The sequence below is a fragment of the Homo sapiens genome, chromosome 1 (assembly GCF_000001405.40).
Source record: "Homo sapiens chromosome 1, GRCh38.p14 Primary Assembly".
NCBI lineage: Eukaryota > Metazoa > Chordata > Mammalia > Primates > Hominidae > Homo > Homo sapiens.
This window is the reverse complement of record NC_000001.11, coordinates 58,139,809-58,161,535: the sequence shown is the minus strand read 5'-3', so window position 1 is coordinate 58,161,535 and position 21,727 is coordinate 58,139,809. Positions and strand designations below refer to the sequence as shown.

Here is a 21,727-nt window from a genome sequence, read left to right as displayed (position 1 = left end):
CATGTTATTGCCTGTCTTCGACTACTCTCAATTACTTACCCAGTGCTTCAGCTGCAATATAGTTTTGTAAAACACTTTGTTCTTCCAAACCTTTGTGATTCCAAATAATCCTGTTCCTGTTGCCTAAAATGCAAAGCCCAAGCTCTTTTCTTCTTCATCTTAAGGCATTCCCAAGTCCTAGAAATAAAAATCGTTTTATTCCACTTCCCAGGCTACTGTATGCATGTGTTCATGAATATGCATTGGGAATGTCTGTTTATAAGGCTTTACTCTCAATTGAACTTGCGCTCTCTAAGGCAAGGATCTTGACTTGTTTATCACAGTGCCAATTAAATACCTGGCATTCAGTAAATGTTATTAAATAAATGAACAAAGGGGAAGACTCCATTCTTTGAGACTCCTTGTGTGTTGTGGTTCTACCTTTGCTGGTGAGAGTCGTTTCTACTTGTGTCCCATCTTCCTGCCTAGGTTATAACATCTTTTCTAGATGGGCAATGGACCCTTATGTATTCCTTACGTTGCATCAGCTTAGAACTGTAATACAGTACAACTACAGCACTTCCTACCTTCTACTGTGGTTAGTTGTGCATGTGACTAGCCCACCTACTAGACTGCATTTTTTTCAAGGCAGGAGCTGCCTTGTTAATTTGCTTCCCATTCTTCAACATATATTAGTGACATAGCAGAAGAAGCACTGGATTGGTATTGGTAGGAGTCTTGGGGCCCAGTATTCCAAACACATGCTTTATTGTAAAGAGGCTTTTTCCTTGAGTCTGGTAACTGTACCCAAAATTGTACCCAAAATTATTTAAAGCCTGTAGGACCCATGTTATAACAAAGTGATACAACTTTTTTTTGTAGCCTATTGGTTTGAATTTAAGAGCAAATGCTGTACTTGGATTGTAAGAGCATGACTGATTTTCAGTGATGTAGTTTGAGATCGTTGGAGGGAAACTTGTTCTGGTGAGGCCCAGCCCGTGTGTATCTGGCTGTTCCCCATAGGAATTGCAACTCAGCCCAAGTTCATGCTATGAAAGGTTGCCTTTTGAATATCAGTTTCATGAAGAGGCTTTCCCTAATTGCCCTCTGTACAGGATTTGCTTTTCTTGAGTGGCATTACTCTATCCTCAGCTCCTCTAACTATGCCAGGTACATGATAGGAGGCCCCAAAATGTTTGTTTCCTTATCCAGAGCAGCCTGCGGTAACAGGGAACTACTCTGCTCTGCTCTTAAACCTGCTGAAACTCTCTGATAGAACTGAGACCGTTCCCCTCCAGGAGAAGTTCCCAGAGCCATTCAGAGACAGACAGACTGGGTGACAGCTCTTACCACCCCTCCTTACCCCCTGGCCTACCTGCAACTGCACCTGCCTAGGGTAGTGGGAACAGTGACCCTGATTCTACCTCAAACCACAGACCCTCTTGTTCCTACCTGCCATTAGGTCTCACAGAGGCTGCAGGTGGCAATATAGCTTACTTTTGTTCATTTGTATTTGAAATGCCTTTTTCTCTTTGGAAGAACTCTTTAAGAAAAAAAAAAGGTATCTTCTTTTATTTCCTCCTTCAGGACTAGGGAATTTGTCTCTAGTAGATAGAAGGGAATTCTCTAAACAGATTGAAATATAGTGGAGCATGGAGACTTGCCTTCTCTCCTTAACTCTAACTTCACCAGCTGTGTTCATGGACAACTGACCTTGGTACCCTGAATCTTAGTGTCCTCAGCTGAGCAATGGGGATATGCATGCCTTTTCTGCTAAACTCACAGTGAGTTAACCTGTGTCTTGCTGGAAAGAATCAGGGTTCTAATAATCAACCTTTACATATAATGTCTTGCAGAAAGCATCAGCCGCCACGTACCTTGGGTGCAACCCAGTTCTCACTTCCTGCAGCTGCTGTCACAGATGGTGATGACCAATGAGAAGACTGATGATCCATAGGCTCTGTTACATTGCAGTAATGTTGAGTGTACAGCGTGGAGAGATTTTACATATGCATGCACTCATATAACCACCATATCAACATATAGAATAGCTCCAGCACCCAAGCAATTTCACTCATGTCCCTCTCAGTTTGTACTTCCAGAGACATCCACAATTCTGACCATCAATTTGTTTTGCCTGTTCTTGGGCCTCATATATAGGAATAACATAGTATGTTCTTTTTGCCTCTAGCTTCTTTCAGTCTGTGGAAATGGATAAACTCGATGGGATTCATTCTATGTTGAACCTGGATTGCAGTTCCTTCTTATCTGTTGACTTGAATGAGTCTTTAGAGGGAGCCAGACACTGTCCTACATGCTGTACATGTATTATCTCACTTAATTCTTAACACTAAGGTAGGGACTTTTCCTTTCATAAATAAGGCTCAGAGAAGTTAAGTAATTTGCCTCAAGTCACAGAGCTATTAAATGTTGAAGACAGAATTCTTGTTCAGTTTGGGTTCCAGAGCTTGAGCTCACTAGCAAGGGCAAGAGCTTGACATGCTTTCAGAATTAGACGAAATCAGATTTGTCTCCAGTTCTATTTTGAAGGTCATGTGATTATTGTGTGGTTATTCACAAAGGGGTCTCTATGGGAACTCGCCTTTCATTTGAATATTCTATCAGAATATTTCCTCTCCCCTGCTTAATCATTAGGGTTTCTCACCCGTGCGTGCTTGTGTGCATGTGTATGTGTGTAGATTCGACTCTCCTTGCCTTGCCTGTGCCTGCATTTGCTTTGGGATCCAGACCTGCATCTTTCTGGCTCTGCAGGAGGCTGCTTTCTCCAGGCCTTGCCTGAAAGATTAAGCTGCTTAACGATGTCTTCCTCCTCCTTCCGGGGTATGATCTTTGATGAAGGAATCAGACAGACCTCTGTCTGACTGTGTGGCTACTTTCCCATTCTCAGCTTGTGGGGGTTTCTAAGGAAACGCGAGCTGCAGTAGATTTTTCTCTCCAGTGTGTGTAGTCTGACTTGCTGTACTCCCACCTTCGAGTCTCACCTTCTTCCCCTGGTGATGGATGACCCCTTGTCTGGGGTGTGAGATTGGAGATAGAGCAGCCTTTGGTAGAGGGTGGGGGACCATCCTGGATGTGGACCGAGAGTTTTAGCTTTGAACAAGCCAGGACTGATACCTAGGCTCACAGGGGTTTTCCCAAAAACTCACCCCAACTTTTCTCTTTTGTAAAATCATCCTTTGAATTTATCTCTGCTCTGTATAGCTTTCCTTCTAAACACAGTATTCATGCCTTTCCCCCCTGGGCTCTGAACTAATCCATTACATTTGGATAAGACATAGACAATGGGTAAATGCCCCCTTGCAGGCTGGAGAATTAAATAGATAATCTGAGCTCTGTTTGGGTCTGTGGCTCAGTGCATAAGGTAATTTGTAAGAGGCTTTGGTCTTCCTTTCTCCATGCAAATGAAGAGAATAAGTAAAGGAAAAAAGGGAAGGTGGGTGAACCTTTTTGAATACTGGCATTAGAGTCACTAGGACAGGCAGAATATAGCTTTTCATTTAACCCCTTGTGGGCTGTTTTCCCTAAGTAACTTTCCTTAATCAGGAAAGATCAGCATTTGCAGTAATTGTGCAATTGATTCCTACCCAGTGCATTAAGTCCCATGTACTATAAATTTGTTCCTTGTTCATCACTGTGTTCCCAGTGCCCATAAGTGTTAGCTCATAATAGGCATTTAATAAATATTCTCAAATGTTTGTAGAGTTGTTCATTAGCAGTATAAAAATTATTTGGGTAGAGAATAGTTGCAATGAAGTAGAAGGATCATGGACTAAAAAGATGATACAGATCATCTCCCCTGGTGATTTCTAAGGCCCTGTCAGATTTGGTTCTGGATTCCAGCAACTCAGTGTTTACCTGGTCCAGATAATTAAGCTCTGAATCGATCACTGCCCTCCACCACAAGTCATTCTCTATGCCTAGAACACCCTCATTTTCAAGCTGTCTCCTTTTCTACAAAGCACTTAAACAAGGCATCGTGGTGCCTGTTCCCATGCCTCTTGGGACCAGCCACCCAAATCCAGTGACTGGAACTCAGTAAACTCACAGATGAGGAAGCCACAGATCTTCACAAAGAAGCCTGGGCCTGCTGTCAATTACCATTTCCTCACGCTGGCCTCAGCATGGCCTCTGAGAGCACAATGTACACAAAATTATAATGTTATCACACAGGCTGGTGCCCACAATGAGGGCAGCCGCTTAGGAAGGCACACACCAGGGGCAGGAAGGCACAAAGGCCATTCTGAGGCTACAGTCACATGTATTCATATTTTCAGCAGAGGGGGGCTGAAATACAATTTCAATGAAGATTGCATTATGGATTATTGCTTGAAAAAGCTTTGGCAAAGGACTAAGGAGAGTCTTTCTTTTCCAGAGGGGGCTTTTTCCTTCACAGGGGTTGAGGGAAATGGGAGGAAAGGGAAGGCTTTTGCTTCTATTTTCTGCAGGTGACGTGGGATGCTTTAGTGATAATGTGTGACAGCTTCCTAAGCAAATCACCATGTGACTCTGTGTATGTGTGTTTTATTTGAATAACTCAGATCCCGTTCGGTAGGCAGACCAGATGCTGTTACTACCATTTTACACATGTGGAGACTGAAACTCAAAGAAGATAAATGGCTGTGCTCTTGTAATTAGCTAGTACCATTATAAAGTTGAAATTCCTTCTCTTAGCTTGCAACCCCTTGTTGTTCTGATTCCTACTTATCACTTCAGTCTCCTTGTGCAGCATGATTTTCCTCTCAGTCTAAACTCCTTCCACAATCAACCTGTGGACCTTTGATACATTGTGTTCTTCCTTTCCTCCGCACTTTGCACATGTTGTTCCCTTCTGTGCAGCCTGCCTTCTCCTTCACCTACTTCTTCCCTGTCTTTCAGATCTTGCCTTACACAAAAAAGCTTCCTTGACCTCTCAGGACTAGGTACCCTGCCCTGTCTGTATGATACCATGCACCCAGAGTCCACTCTGTTCTTAGCACTTTGTACTGAAATTGTGCATTAACTCTTCTGTCTTTCTCACTGGACTGTGGTTCCTTGTGGAACAAAAAACACCCTGAATTGCTCCATTGAGTCTACAAGTGAGTGGAAATAGAGGGTGTAGGAGGAAAAAGTTAAGGGCTTAGCATGCCATAAGAAACTAGCTACACTTGAAACATGCCCAGGTTGGGAAGCGCTAAGATACACAGCAATGTCAGCCACCTCAAGGCAACTGAGAAGCTACTTTTTTTGCTACCTCTGAGGCATCTGGTTTCACTTCTCCACTTAAGGCACTGCTTAGGACCCAATCACTTCATCTCATTTGAGCCTCAATTTTCTCATTCAAAAATGGAGAAGCAAGTGCTAGATAAAGTGAGATAAGAGTGGGAAAGTATATTGTAAGGCATAAATAGCACTAAATAAATCTTTGTTAGTATTATGCAAAAATCTCCAAAACACTGTTGATGAGTGAAATAGTGTTGTGATCTCATTTGTGTAAAAAATAATTATGAAACAAAAAGACTTGCACTTTTAACAAAGTCAGAAAACCAGACTTCAGAAAGTACTCTCTTCCTCATAAGACAACAGACAGGCAGAAAGCAAAATGCCACATTCATGAACAGAAGAGATTTCACTATTGGGAGGCATTGTATTCATTCTCAAATTGAAGAATTTTAAATACCACCAGGAGTGTTAGTTTGGAAGCAGTATTGCTTGGAAATCTTTCATCATGAAGTCATTTATTGAATACGTGCCTGCTAAATTTCACTCTCTGCTCATCACCTGCAACGTGCCAGGCATTGCTTCACGCACTCCTGGCTACTGAGTCTTTCTCTCAAATGCCATTCCTGTATCTACGGTCATGTCATTGCTTGCTCTGATAGCCGGACCTGCAATGTTTGTGCCGGTTACTAAGTTATTGGCACTTAGCTACAACCCTATCCTTTTGTTCTTAACTTTGTGATGAAATTTTTATTTCTGTTTTGTCCACTGGCTCCCTCTTAGGCTCTGCCAATAGGGGGTGCTAGAGGGAGACTCCAAGGCTGGATGGGGCCAGGCAGGACTTGCTCCTGGTTTGCTTCCCGTTTTTCACAGTGTTAACTTAGAATAGGTTTCTCCACTTTGGCACTTTGGACTGAGTCATTCTTTGTTGGGGGATGGGGTCTCGTGTGTTATAGGATGTTCAGCAGCACCCTGTCCTAAATTGTAGTACCAATCCCCTAATTGTGACAATTAAGACTGTCTTCAGACATTGCCAGATGTTCCCTGGAGGGCAAAATCACCCCTGGTTTAGAACCACTGACCTAGAGTCTAGGTATAGACATACTTCTTCACTTTGGCAGCTGCAATTCCTTCCCTTGGCAGCAGCTGAATCCAGGCTGCATTTTTCCAACACCTGCAGACAGCTTTGTCACACCTCAGTTAGGTAACATTAGTACCAGCTGACATCCTCAGAGGTCTGGGCCGGCCCTGAGGCCCTCTTCTGAGCTGAGACACCAGCCCTTGGCTGAGTAGTGCCCTTTTTTGGAGATCTGATTTTAACACCACCACCTGCCAATGGGTTTTCTCCTCTAAGTCTCTAGGTTTCTTCCCTTGTCCTTTCCTTATAGGGGTAGTAGCTGCTTCTTGCAATTGCTACTTTCATGATGCCTTAGAATTCCTTTTAATCTCTCAGTTACTTAGCTAATAATTTTATACCTTAACACTTTTGTCCATTGAAATCTCTATTCCAAAGTAACTGGGATATTTTCTCTGGCATCTGACTGATACAGTGTTCTTTTTCCCCACCAACGCTTTCCTTCTCTCTCCTCTCCTTCCATTCCCTTTTCTTCTTCTCTACCTGGCAAACTCCTACTCTCTTTCAGAGCTCTGACAATTACTCCCCTTTTCTGGAGCATTCTGGACTCTACTAGGCAGAGCCAGTCACCCTCCTTTAGTCTCCTGGTACTTGGTACAGGTGCTTCTTACCTGTGGCAGAGCCCTGTATATATATATCTCTGTTTTTCCTGCCAGGTTGTAAAGTCTTGAGAGCAGAAACCACACCACATTCCTTTCTGTATTCCTAGCACATTGCTAATGAATGAATGAATGAATGAATGAATGAATGAAGAACTGCATGACACAGGACTCCTGTCTGTTTCAAGCCTGGTGATCTGGTGGTGCATTTTTCTGCTCCTCACATTCTGCCTAGATTGTAGTCTCAGTGAGGGTCGGGATGGACTCTACTGTACTCCCTTCAGTGGCTGACCCAACACCATGACAGCCATTGTGTTGGGTTTTTCTAACGAGTCTTTTTTGCTCAATAGATATTAAGCTCCTCCAGATAGGGGTTTTTGGGTACAAAGGAGTTTCTTACTGAATATGTGTTGAATGACTTGCTGAAGGTAACCAAAGGAGGTTTCAAAGGAAAGCCCTTGAAGGATAGGGAGCGTTTTTTAAAATGAAGGCTTCATCCTTGGTGATGGATCAGGGATAACATGAGGAAACACAAATAAGTTGTTTAGGGAATCGCTGACTATTTGAGTCTGGTAGAAGGCAGGGCACATAGGAAATTTGAAAGATGAGGCTGCCAAGGTAGATAGGATATAGATTTTGGACACCCTGAAGAAGAAGGATAAACACAAGGTACAGTAGTTTTGGGGGGAGTCCTGGTGTAAGAGAGTGTTATTACCAGGCTTCACTTCTTGGGATAGGCCCTCAGCACACTAGATGAGAAACTGGGTGGAGGCCATTCAGGAGAAGCTGTGTGCTGTCAAACATGACAGGACGGGTTAACACAGAGAACAAGGCTCCCACAGTCCTGGCAACTCTATTCTGTAAGAAGCAGATTCTTTTTGTGGAGGAAGATGAATACTCCATCCTATAGACAATGGAGACCAAAAGGAGGTGAGAAAAGGAAAGAATAGAAATGTAACAATCACCCCACATTACAGCTCTAGGTTGAATGGTTCAGCTTCAGCTTTTTTTGGTCTAATTATCACAGAGTTTTTCACATTTTGATGTATTTCATAAGATATGAAAGACAATAATAAAACAGTGTCTATATTAGCTTTCAAGCAGACTTGTGTGGCAGGGCCAACAGCAGTTTGTAGAATTCAGCTGGGATCTATTTCAGGAGGGAGTAAGAATCCATTATAATTCTTAAAAGAAAGAAAACAACAGCAGCCTGGGTATGACCTGCTCATCATGATCTGTGCAATGTGGATAATGATATCAGCTTTCCTTTGTGTTCCAGGGCTTTTTGGAAAATCAAATAAGATGAAAGATGTGGAAGTACTTTGTAAATCAGTAAGTGCCTATAAAATCCATCCAGTCATTCAGCAAACACGCTAAAGTTGTCCTGTATGACAGAAATATTATCAGGCACTCGGGGGTAAAGGCATGAATGAGACATGGTCTCTGTCTTTCGAATCTCTAGATGGACAGGTAGGGTTTGACAAAGATACTTGCCATGCCATAAAAGAAGTTTCACACATTTTATAAGAAATTGTCACTAATATTGCACTTAGTAAGATGAGCTTGGTTGCTAGTGGCTGCCAATTTTTTTGTTTTCTTTCTAGAAGAGTACTCAGAAGCAATGTCATGTGGTCCAGATTTGGAGCTTTGAAGACAAAGGATAAAGTTTCAAGTTCATTCTCTGTCATTTAATAACTGTGTGATTTGGACCGGCCACTTGTTTCGTCACCTGTACATAACTCTTTCTATCTAACTCAGAAGGTTACTGAGATAACTATATTGGCTAATAGATGTTGAAGTGCTTTTAAAACTGGAACTTACTACTCGTATGTTGTGAATGATTGGTTGAGAATAATAGAAAAAACTGGTAATATTTTCTTTCATGGTCATTGCTGTGAATGGCTCTTTAATTAAGGATAAGAAAACTGGCACTAAATGTGTAGTAAGGAAATAGTATATGTCTGATGTTGCAATAGGGATTAGCATGATAGAGCTCGTGTAATCCTAATGATAACCTTGTGTGACAGGCATCATTCTCCCCATTTTGCAGAGAAGACTGAGAGGCAGAGATTTGCATGCATGTTCCTAAGGTGCACAGGTAGTACTTTGAAGGGTGAGGAGCTGCCCAGGAGGAAGGCTTGTGCCTGATGTGCCAATGGGCAATGTCATTCTTCAAACTTCCCTTTACCCCTTCCTTTACTGCTTCCGATGGCTTTGTTTTGGGATACAGATTCACTGTGGCATTTCTCTTTACCTTCTCTCTGATAAGGCAGTGGTAGAGTGGAGTAGGGATCTTATTAGGCAAATACTTGCCCAAGAATCAGCCCTTCATATACATGGACAAGCATCCAGGGATAATGAAATTCCAGCTTGTAGAATGGGGGGTATAGTATGTCCCTGTGTGAGCTTATGAGAATTTCCCTTTCCGTGTGTATCCTCTTCAGGACATCACTGAGTAACATGGAAGTGAGTCGAAAAAATACTAATTTTACCATATATTTGCCTGATGTATCTGATCTTCTTTCGCCACCCCACCTCAAGACCCTTTAATATTTTTACTCATTTTCACCCTGGAATCAACCTTGTTCCTGATTTCTGTGCTTTTTCGTATCTTGTTCTCTCTGCCTGGGATATTCTTCTGTTACTTAAATCTCTGATAAAGACCTACTTGTTCTTCAGAACCTGGCTCAAGAAGTTCCTTCCCCACAGAGTTGGTTGTTTTCTTCTTTGCTTCAACCGTTCTTCCAATGGATAGACTTTTACCACTTATCCAGCTATATCAAAATGTGTATTTACTTGTCTTTCTTCCTTACTGGAATTAACTCTCCAGGGAAAGGGGCTGCAAATTATTTCCTTCTTTATCTTCAGTATCTAGCAGGTACATTGCACATAGTATGCATTCAGGAACCGTTTGCTGAATGAATGCACAAAAGAATGAATGAGCCTGTAAGGCAGCGTTCTGGCCAGGGTATGCAGACACAGGGCAGCCACTGTTAAGATAGCCTTCTATGCAATTTCATTTTCTTGTTTACAAATTTTCAAGATATTTGGTACTTTTTGGTTGACTTAGAGAAGAATACTTAACAAAAACTATGGTCTTATCCACTTCTCAAAAGAAGACATTTATGCAGCCAACAGACACATGAAAAAATGCTCTCATCACTGGCCATCAGAGAAATGCAAATCAAAACCACAATGAGATACCATCTCACACCAGTTAGAATGGCAATCATTAAAAAGTCAGGAAACAACAGATGCTGGAGAGGATGTGGAGAAATAGGAACACTTTTACACTGTTGGTGGGACTGTAAACTAGTTCAACCATTATGGAAGACAGTGTGGCAATTCCTCAAGGATCTAGAACTAGAAATACCATTTGACCCAGCCATCCCATTACTGGGCATATACCCAAAGGATTATAAATCATGCTGCTATAAAGACACATGCACACATATGTTTATTGCGGCACTATTCACAATACCAAAGACTTGGAACCAACCCAAATGTCCATCAATGATAGACCGGATTAAGAAAATGTGGTACATATACATCATGGAATACTATGCAGCCATAAAAAATGATGGGTTCATGTCCTTTGTAGGGACATGGATGAAGCTGGATACCACCATTCTCAGCAAACTATCGCAAGGACAAAAAACCAAATACCGCATGTTCTCACTCATAGGTGGGAATTGAACAATGAGAACTCTTGGACACAGGAAGGGGAACATCACACACCAGGGCTTGTCGTGGGGTGAGGGGACGGTGGGGGGAGGGAAAGCATTAGGAGATATACCTAATGTAAATGATGAGTTAATGGGTGCAGTACACCAACATGGCACATGTATACATATGTAACAAACCTGCACATTGTGCACATGTACCCTAGAACTTAAAGTATAAAAAAAAAACCAAAAAACTATGGTCTTATTAAAACTTAGTGGAACCTACCTTGAGTATGTTTGGTACAGGAAAGTGAGCCTCCCAACCTGCTCCCACTTTTTTTTTTTTTTTTAGACTTCCCAGTCTTCGTATTTTACCTAAATGCAAATTCACTGCCTTGGAGAGTGTGAGTCCAAGAAGAAATCCTTTGGGGCAAGTTGCCACATTTTATCTATGCTCCTTTTTTCATTTTAGCCTGTCTTCCAGTTATTTTTAGTAAAGTACTTATCAGGTGGGGAGAAGCTTGACTGTGAATAGGGGATGGAAAAGAGCTGTGAAATGCCTTGCTCAGACAAAGGAGATGCTTATTTAAACTGCTGCATTATTTAATTTGTCTGCTGCTTCTGGGTTTTGTAGGCACATAGAACCTGTGAGTCTAAGACCTTGACCCTTAGAGATTTTGGAATAGAGACATAGTAGAGAATATGTGGGTGCCTTGGGGCCAGGCATACCTGGGTTCAAATCTTGGCTCTGCAACTTCCTGGCTATTAAGTATGAGTAAGTTTATTAGCCTCTCTGAGGTTTTCTTCCTTTATCTGTACAATGAGAATACTAACACTTATTTTGCAGTGATTTGTAAGTCTTAGAGATGATACATTTAAAACACTTGGTACATAGAAGGCTTTCAATGAATGGAAGCTAATGTAATCATTGGCTCTCTCCCTCTTACTTTTTGAGTAACAATAGTAATTTACCCTGAAGAGTATTTAAACCTTTCTTTGTGGCTGAAAGCATCACCAGTAAGCAACTGACTTAGCTTCATTATAAAAGAAGTTTTTTTTCTATTTCTTTTATCCTTTATGTTAGCTACCTTGGTTTCAAGATGAAAATGTGGTGTTTTAAGGTTGAACTCATATTTATCAGTGAAAGGCTGCAAAAATAATAGTGTGAGTGGGGTGGATAGGGGAGCAGAGAAGAAGGCTTTGTGAAAACTCCCCGTTTGGTAAAAATCACCTCCTACCTTGTAGCAAGGTGTGTGTGCGTATGTGCAGCTGTTGGTTTCAACACTCAGTTGTTGATTTAAGGTTCCAAAGGTGCTGTTTTGCCCTGGGGAACTGTTTGAGTTGTGTCAGGTTGATGGTTCAGGGCCTGAGTATGACTCTTGTCAAATTTGGGATCCGAAGCCCTGTATGAACCCGGTTTAGTATTCAGGAAACGTATCCATAGCAGCCGCTGTCAGGGTAACTATCACTAAGGGCAGACAGTTGATGGCTTCCTTCCTGCTATATGCCTGCCCTAAAGTCTTAAAAATAGTGCCCTCCATCACCACCCACTTGCAAGATAGAATAAAGTCTTTCCTTCTTTCCATAGATAGTAGCCCTCCTGCCTCCCTTAGTTATAATTATATGATAATAATCAACACTTATGTTCTTCCTCCTTCTTGGAGGCCATCCCTATTAGAATCTCTTGTTCACTAGAACAAGAGAATTTTTTGTTCATACCTATCATAAAACTTGCACCTCTTTGTTCTTACTATCTGCTGATCAGAGAGAGACAGAAAATTAATAAGTAGACAAGAAACTTTTAGTAAGAAGTACTATGAAGAAAATAAAAGAGATAGTGGAATGGAGAGAAAGGGGTAGAAATTACTACTGTTGTAGGGTGACCAGGGGAGAACTGTTTGTGGACATGATATTTAAGCTGAGGCCTTAACAGCAAGAAGAATCACATGAATTCACATGAAGAACTTGGAGTAAAGACCATTCCAGGCAGTGGAACACCTCACACCACAGCTCTGAGACAGGGGAGATCATGGTCTATTTGATGATTGATATGGTTTGGCTGTGTGCCCACCCAAATATCATCTTGAATTGTAGCTCCCATAATCCTCATGTGTCGTTGGAGGGACCTGGTGGGAAGTAATTGAATCATGAGGTTGGGGGGGGGGTGTGATTTCTGTGCTGCTCTCATGATAGTGAAAAAGTCTCGAGAGATCCGATGGTTTTATAAAGGGCAGTTCCCCTGCGCAAGCTCTTTCCTGCCACCATGTAAGACATGCCTTTGCTCCTCCTTTGCCTTCTGCCATGATTGTGAGACCTCCCCAACCATGTGGAACTGTGAGTCCATTAAACCTTTTTTTCCTTGTAAATTACTCAGTCTCAGGTATGTCTTTATTAGCAGCATGAGAATGGACTAATACAATGATCGAAAGGAAGCTTAGTGGTCAAAATGTAGTTTGCAAGGGAGAAAGAAGTAGTTCACAAAGTCAAGAGGCAGACAGAGGCCAAGCCATGTAGCATCTTTCAGGTCACAGTAAAGAGTTCAGAATATATTCTAAGACAGTGGGTAGCGGTTGGCAGTTTCAAGCTGAGGAAATAGTATGATGTGGTGTGTGTTCTGAAAATATCAATCTGGCTGCCATGTAGAAAATACCCTGTAGGGGTGAGAGAGTGGAAGACAGGCCAGTTAAGAGATAAGTGCAATAGTCCTGGTGGTAGGTAATTGCCAGTTGGACTAAGGCATGTGTGGCTAGTGATGGTGAGGGGGTTGCAGATGGTAGGTCAGGCTACAGAGAAAGCTTGGCCTTAAAATCAGAAGTCTTACCATGTTGGCGAGAACATTTTGTTGATTTGATGACTCCTCAATACTTTCCCTGGTTTCATGGATTTTGAATTCCATTTGTCACTGAAAACACAAGGGGCTTTCTTTGGCACTTTAGATTGCTTTTTTTTTTTTTTTTCTCCAGCTATAGTATGTCTTGGTAAAATATCATGAGCTTCAGAGTAATACAGATATGGATTGAAATCCCTGCTCCAATGCTAATTGGATGGTTGACAGGATAGTTTTTTAATTTAATATCTCCAATCTTCAGTTTCCTCTACTGCAAAATGGACTTAATAATAATGCCTGCTTCCTGCAGGTTTATACTGTTGGGTCAGATGAGACTGCATTTGTGGGAATATCTAGCACATAGTAAGCTCTCAATGAAAGTTATTTGCTTTGGGTATGTACTCTGCAGAGGGACTGCTGAGCCATATGGTAGTTCTATTTTTGTTTTTTTGAGAAGCCTCTATATTATTTTACATAATGGCTATACTATTTTTTTTTTTTGAGATGGAGTCTTGCTCTGTTGCCCAGGCTGGAGTGCAGTGCAATCTCAGCTCACTGCAAGCTCCGCCTCCTGGGTTCTTGCCATTCTCCTGCCTCAGCCTCGAGTAGCTGGGACTACAGGCGTCTGCCACCACGCCTGGCTAATTTTTTGTATTTTTGGTAGAGAGGGGATTTCACTATGTTAGCCAGGATGGTCTCGATCTCCTGACCTCGTGATCCGCCTGCCTCGGCCTCCCGAAGTGCTGGGATTACAGGCATGAGCCACCACGCCTGGCGTGGCTGTACTTTTTTTTTTTTTTTTTTTTTGAGACGGAGTCTTGCTCTGTTGCCCAGGCTGGAGTGCAGTGACATGATCTCAGCTCACTGCAACCTCCGCCTCCCAGGCTCAAGTGATTCTCCTGCCTCAGCCTCCTGAGTAGCTGAGATTACAGGCACCTGCTACCATGCCCGGCTAATTTTTGTATTTTTAGTAGAGACGGGGTTTCACCATATTGGTCAGGTTGGTCTCAAACTCCTGACCTCCAGTGATCTGCCCACCTCAGCCTCCCAAAGTGCTGGGATTACAGGCGTGAGCCACTGCACCTAGCCAATGGCTATACTATTTACATTCCCACCAACAGCATACAAGGGTTCCCGTCTCTCTACATCCTTGTCAACACTTACTATTTCTTGTCTTTTTGATAATAGCCATCCTAACAGGTGTGAGGTAATATCATGTTCACTGCAGCATTACACAATAGCCAAGATATGGAAACAACCTAAGTATCCATTGATGGATGGATGGATGGATAAAGGAATTATGGTATATGTTATATATTTCACATATATATGTGCAATATATTCACATATATTCTATTATAAATAATAGAATTTATAATAGAATATTCTGTTATATATTATAAATGGAATACTATTCAGCCTTAAAAAAGGATATGCTGCCTTTTGTGCCAACATAGGTGAACTTGGAGGACATTATGCTAAGTGAAATAGAGCCAGGCAGAGACAGACAAATATCACATGATCTCAATTATATGTGGAATGTAAACAACATAGATTACATAGAAACAGAGAATAGAACCATGATTGCCAGGAGTGGGAAGGGGAGAAAATGGAGAGATGTAGATCAAAGGGTACAAACTTGCAGTAATGCAGGATGAATAACTCTAGAAATCTGATGTACAGCTTGAGGACTAGTTAATTATATTGTATTATATATAAGAAATTTACTATGAGTAGATTTTGGGTGTTCCTCACACACATACATGCACACACACACGGTAACTATTTGAGGTGATGAACATATGGATATGTTAATTTGCCACTTCACTATGTATGTGTACAGTCGACCCTTGAACAACATGAGGGTTAGAAGAGCCAACCCCCCATGAAGTCAAAATCTGAGTTTAATTTTCACTCCCCAAAAACACGATTACTAATAACCTACTGTTGACCAGAAGCCTTACCAATAACCTAAACAGTCAATTAACACAAATTTAGTATGTTATATGGATTATGTACTGTATTTTTACAATAAAGTAAGCTAGATAAAAGATAATGTTATTAAGAAAATTACAAGGAAGAGAAAATATGTTTACTGTTCATTAGGTAGAAGTGGGCCATCATAAAGGTCTTCATGCTGTTTTCATGTTAAGTAGGCTGAGGCTGAGGAGAAGGAGGAGGGGTTAGTCTTGCTATCTCATGGGTGGCAGAGGTAGAAGAAAATCTATGTGTAAGTGGAACCATGCAGTTCAAACCCATATTGCGTGTCCTTTCTAGACTGGGAGCAGCAGTCAGATATTCCTGCTTAAATTCTTCCTTTTATGTCAGTGAAGCGCATGTCCGTGGAAACAATCATTGGACCAGCAGATGTAGTAGGTACAGTTGACTTTCTATTTTTCTCCTTGATAAAAGCTGAGTGACTGCTCTTTTAATCTCCATGATAAAAGCTGAGTGACTGCTGAGATAAGCTCTTTCCCTCTATGGGCCTCAACTTCCCCATCTGTAAAATGAGGAATTTGGACTGGATGATTTCAATAATTGTAGTATTTAGCAATATGCCTTCATGTGATGCCAGTATTAACTTAACAACCACCACTACCATCAGTTATTGAACACCCACTGTGGGCCAGACGATGTGCTCTATGCCTTACTTTCATCATTATATTTAATCTTTACGACATCCATGTGACGGGAGTACTAATATTGTTCCCATTTTACAGAAAAGAAACCGAGACAGAGATGCGTCATGTGTTGCGGATAATGGCCACCAGTTCAATTCAACAAAAAACTCTCTGGGAGTTCCAAATGTGCCAGGCACATTGCAGGGCACTGCACCTGCAGGTATAGGCATTGCCCCAAAAAAGTCCCATGAGGGATCTGTGCTACCATCTCACCATTCCCGCATCCTCCGGCAGGATGGCACCTCACTGTGAAAGCAATGTCTGCGTGGATATTCCTTGGCATGTGAAGCTGGTTTGGGCTGGTTCTTTCATGCAGTACAATGTAGCCTTTCTGAATATTTAGCAAGTACAAAAGGTTTCCGTCTCTTGTTTGTATTCTCACACAGACCCATCTGCAGCCCCATCCCCTGACTGCCTATGCTTTGCCTCTTCTGATGTTCTTTTTCAGTAGCACTTATTTGTTATTCTTCTTTCTCTTTTCTGTTTTACTGTGTTTGTTAGCTATAGAAGGAAGATTAAACTAGGTACAAGGAGTTCTGTCTGCCTAGGAGACAGACTGGAATAGCAGCAAGGGCCTTTGTCTCTTGTAGGCCTGTGTGTGGACATGGTATGCCCAGGCTGCATGGCACAACTCTGACCTGGGCAATCAGGACATTTGTGTTCTCATTCAGGCTCTGCTGCTTGCTGCTGGGTGACCCCGGGTGTATCACCAAACCTGGCTGAGCCTGAAATTCTTTCCTATAAAATGCTTCTACTCATTCTGGTAGAGTCAGAGCTTGGGTTTACATGTTAGATTGATGGCTTACCAACTTTGCGACCTAGTGCAAGTCACTTAACTTCGGTTTTCATTTATGTAAAATGAGGACATACCCCAGGGTTGTTATGAAGATTAAGTTACATAATCCATGTAAGGTGCTTGGCACAATGCCTGGTGAATTGTAAGCTCTATGTAAATCTTAGCTATTAGTAATGACCATACTGATTAATGGACTTGATAGATGTAAAAAGCATTTTCTAAACTGTAAAGCACTGTACAAATGTTAGTCATTATTTTGGTGATAATTGTTATTTTGAAGTAAGAAAGAAAGGACTGTTGATAATCTTTACTTGCCAAGTCAGTTTTTAAAATAAAATTGGGTTTTATATTTATCTCCCTTAATAACATGCTTTTAATATTATATGAACTCCTCCTAGGGCATTATTGTTTCAGAATCTGGGCCATCAAAGGCCATCCCATGCCTTTATATACACAGAAATGGGAAGTCAGCCAAAAAGCTGTGTAATTTCATTTTACCCTTTGCTTTTCTCATTGAACTTGGTAGTTCCCGTCTAAATGAACTGAGTGTTGAGCTTTGAATTCTTCCATCAATAGTTCTAGCAAGCCAGTGTACATTGTGATTAAAATGTACTGACCCTCCTTAAAGAAATAAAATGCAACTAAACGGAAGGAAGGAATTAAATGGAGGAAAAAGGCAGTAAGGATAAAATAAATGCTCTGACAAGACATCATCCTGTTTGTGCAGTTAAAATCTGGTTGTGTGAAAAAATACATATTCAGATATATGGTACTGTCAGGGCGAGAAAAACATAGTAGAAAGGATCTGGGTGAGGGGACTGTAATCTTTTGTTTTGAAACTAGGAGTCTTTCTTGAGTAAGGTAAGTAAAGTGAAACCCTTTGCCATGCTGTTATTGGAGGAAAATAATAACAGCTTAGAAGACAGCTGTGTTATTTCAGACTTTTATTCTAGGTAGTTTTTGTGTTCCAGGGAGCAGGATTTTGACCTGCTTTATATTGAATCCATACAATAATAAGTGCTGTTATTGCCTGTCTCTGCTGCCAGGGCTCCCAAACGTGGTAGCCTCCATCCTCAAAGTCTGTGAAACAGCTTTGGATGCAAACAGAGATCTCAGAACTGTCCAACCACACCGTTCTTAATAATGAAGAACTTCTGGTGGTAAATATTTCAGGAGTGTCTCAGAAACATGGCAGTTATCAGCTGATTTGGAATGAATACCTGCTGTTATGTAGCATAATCTTTTGCAACTTTTTATATTGGTTTAAGATGCACTGGTGGGGTGGCTAGCTGGCCAGTTGTGTATATATCCCTCATCTCCATTATTGAGTGGGTGCTTCTTTAGGCATCTTCTTTTCCACTCTAGATTATTATTACCAGCATGTTAGGGGCTGTGTCATGTAAACACTTCCATTCAATAAAGCATTTATTGAGGACTTACTGTGTGTGTACATTTGGTGAGGGGTACTTTCTCAGACGAATAGTTCCCTGTTCCTACCCTTAAAATAATGGCCCTCAAACTTCAGTGTGCTTTAGAATCTTCTGGAGGGCCTACTGAAACTCAGATTGCTGGGTTTCACCACCGGAGTTTCTAATCAGTAGGTCTGGTTGAAGAGTGGCACTCCAGAAGGAACACCGAGAATTTCCATTTCCAATAAGTGCCCAGGTGAAGCTGATGCTACAGGTCTAGGGACAACTTTGAGAGCCATTGCCTTAGAGAACTTATGGCACAAATGGTGAGAAGTTCAGGCAACTGATTCTTATAAAAATCAGACTGAGAGGCATTAAGATGGAGACATAAAGAAAAGGCTCTGGCTGCAGAGAGAAGGGAGCAATTAATGCACAGTGTGGTGACCAGGAAAGATGGAGAGAGGTAGGGGCATCTGAGCAAGGCCTTGAAGCATGAGAACGAATTAGGCAGGTGGTAAAAGCTGCAAAAAGAAGTTTCTGTGAAATATAGAAGGTTAGGGGAACAGAAAAATATATTCAAAGGTTACCTTCTCTTCCTTTTCTTCCCTGGCCCAGGGCCATGAAAGGGAGCATAGGCTTAGATCCAAGGAAATCTCCTTTCACTTTGTATTTAAAAGCTCTGATTTAGGCTCTTATGGGGGCCAGGAATGAGACTGCAATTTTAATGGCAGTGCCCATCTCCCCTAGATCAAGGATGAAGAGACTCCATTTCCTGCAGAAACAAAAACGCCACCACTCAGTCCCCTCAGTCCCCTTTCAGGAACCTAAAAGAAATTAAAAATGGAATTAACAGTTCATCTGGAAACCCTCTTTTTAAAAATCATATGCTTAGCTCACTGTTCCATGAAAACTGTTTCTGAAACACCAGCTTAATGCTGCTGGCATCATATTCCTGTTCCATCCTTGTCTGACTGAGAGACCAAGGCAGCCGAGTGGCAGGGGATAAATGAGGTGTGGCAGGAACTTGGCCGGAGAGACTGAGGCAGGGAGAGCATGCCCTGCCCTCTGTGGAGGAGCCAGTAGTGTGAAGGAGTGTCCATGCCTCTTATTCAGGGATGGAGCCCACAGAGAAGGTCCCTGAAGCAAGGGAAGCAGCATCGGCTCATGAACGTTGGTTAAAATTTAGGCAGGCAGAGAGGGGCAGGAGAACCAACATACACAAAGACACGGTGACTGACCAGGGCCTGCTGTGTTTTGAGAACTGAGTAAAGTTGTGTCTAACTGGAGTTGTGTGGAATCAAGCAAGAAAGTTGGTCAGGGAAAGGCGGTGGAAGGTACTTTGTCTAGGTCAAAAGAATTACTTGTAATTCTCTGAACATGCCATGTTGTATCACATCTCTGCCCTTTGTCCAAGCTGTTCCCTCTACCCAGAATGCCCTTCCATTACCAACTCCATAAAACCAACTCCTGTTTTTACTTCAAAACTCAAAGCAGCTGTCACTTCCTTTGGGAAATGACGTAGTTTGGGTATTTGTCCCCATGCAAATCTCGTGTTGAAATGTAATCCCCAATGTTGGAGGTGGGGCCTGGTTGGAGGTGATTGGATCATGAGTGCAGATCCCTCATGAATGGCTTGGGACATTCCCTTGGAGAGAGTGAGCTCTGGCTCTGAGTTCACATGAGATCTGGCCATTTAAAAGTATGTGGCACCTCTGATGTGGTTTGGCTGTGTCCCTACGCAAATCTCATCTTAAATTGTAGCCTCTATAATCTTCACATATCATGGGAGGGACCTGTTGGGAGGTAATTGAATCATGGGGGCAGGTTTTTCCCATGCTGTTCTCGTGATAGTGAATAAGTCTCACGAGATCTGATGGTTTTATAAAGGGCAGTTCCCCTACACACGCTCTCTTGCCTGCCACCATGTAAGAGGTGACTTCATACCTCTTTGCTTTCCACCATGATTGTGAGGCCTCCCCAGCCATGTGGAACTGTGAGTCAATAAAACCTCTTTCCTTTGTAAATTACCCAGTCTCGGGTATGTCCTTATTAGCGGCGTGAGAGCAGACTAATACAACTACCTCCCCAACTCTCTCTCTCTCGCTCTTGCTCTGGCCATGTGATATGCCTGCTCCTGCTTCACCTTCCTCTATGAGTAAAAGCTCCCTGAGGCCTCCCTAGGAGCTGAGCAGATGCTGGCACCATGCTTCCTGTATAGCCTGCAGAACCACGAGCCAATTAAACCTCTTTTCTTTATAAAACACCCATTCAGATATTTCTTTATAGTAACGGACTAGTACAGGAAGCTTTCCTGGTTTTTAGATTGAGTTTCCTCATCCTCTGCTGGTTCTTATTATGCCTCATATTTCCTGCAAGAGTTGTACTTAATACCTTGTATTGGAACTATCTATTTACTTATTTACTCCTTCACTAATCACTTTTTCATTTATTCTATCAGTGATTTATTCATTTATTTAACAAATACATCCCGAGGACTGTGTGCCAGAAATTCTGCTAGACCTTAGGGAAACAGAACAAAACAAAATGAACACAGTCTCTACTACTTTCATGGACTCATAGAGCAGTGGGGGAGCTAGGCATTAAACAGGGAAGGGCAAAATGAGTATATAATTAGAGATTTTTTTTTTTTAGTTCTCCTGTGAACTCCTAAAGGATGTCAGTGGAGAATCTGGAGAAGTAGCATCTGGTCAGAGGGAAGATTATGAGCAAAGGGAAGCAATTTCACTTGGTCTATGATGCCTTTATATTTCCATGCTTTTAAGGATTTTTTATCCTTTTCAGTATCATAATGTTGTTCAACATGATGGAGGGAGACAAAGGCTGAAAATGCCAGCACTTGCCAAGCAGATGGATACCTGATTATAGCACTGCCTCTTGCAAGTTCTGCTAAATGTAGCACTTTCTCTTTGATGTCAGTGCCAAGGAGAGAGTTGTGATGGCTGAACCATATTCCATACCACATGGTGAAGCTAGAAAGTATCATTCTTCTATTGAGCCTCAAGTAGCATCTTAACCAAACAATGAGAATTACCTTGGTAGAGAAAGACCTGGAAGATAAGAGGGATGGAGCTAACCATTGGCAAATGTTGAAGAAAAAAGGACACTCAATTTGTGGATTTGCGATAAAGGGTAGTACGGTAGGGGTGGGAGGATGGTTAATCTTCCAGATGCACAAAATATGCCATTGCAGGAGTCTCTGTTTAAAGACACCAAGATACCCAGTGATCCTTGAGAGAATGAAGATGTTAAAAAGAGCCCTTATACAAGGATTAGAGTATCTTATTTAATAATATAGTTTCCACTATTGAGCACCTCCTGTGGCCTGGGCACTTTATGTATTAGCTAAATTAATCCCCAAAGCATCCCTGAAAATGAAAGTGTTACACCATTTTATAGGT

At 41.8% G+C, this 21,727-nt stretch overlaps 1 protein-coding gene across 4 annotated transcripts in view; it reads left to right on the top strand.

The window, feature by feature from the left end:
- The window catches only part of DAB1 (DAB adaptor protein 1), a 1,551,949-nt gene that overhangs the window by 385,191 nt on the left and 1,145,031 nt on the right, over positions 1-21,727 (top strand). The window contains exon 5 of one of the 4 annotated variants that reach the window (NM_001379461.1): positions 10,948-11,025. The exons of the other annotated variants lie outside the window; for them this stretch is intronic. The gene's annotated coding sequence lies outside the window, so the exon portion shown is untranslated. The remainder of the gene's footprint in view (positions 1-10,947; positions 11,026-21,727) is intronic. 4 annotated transcript variants of the gene reach the window in all.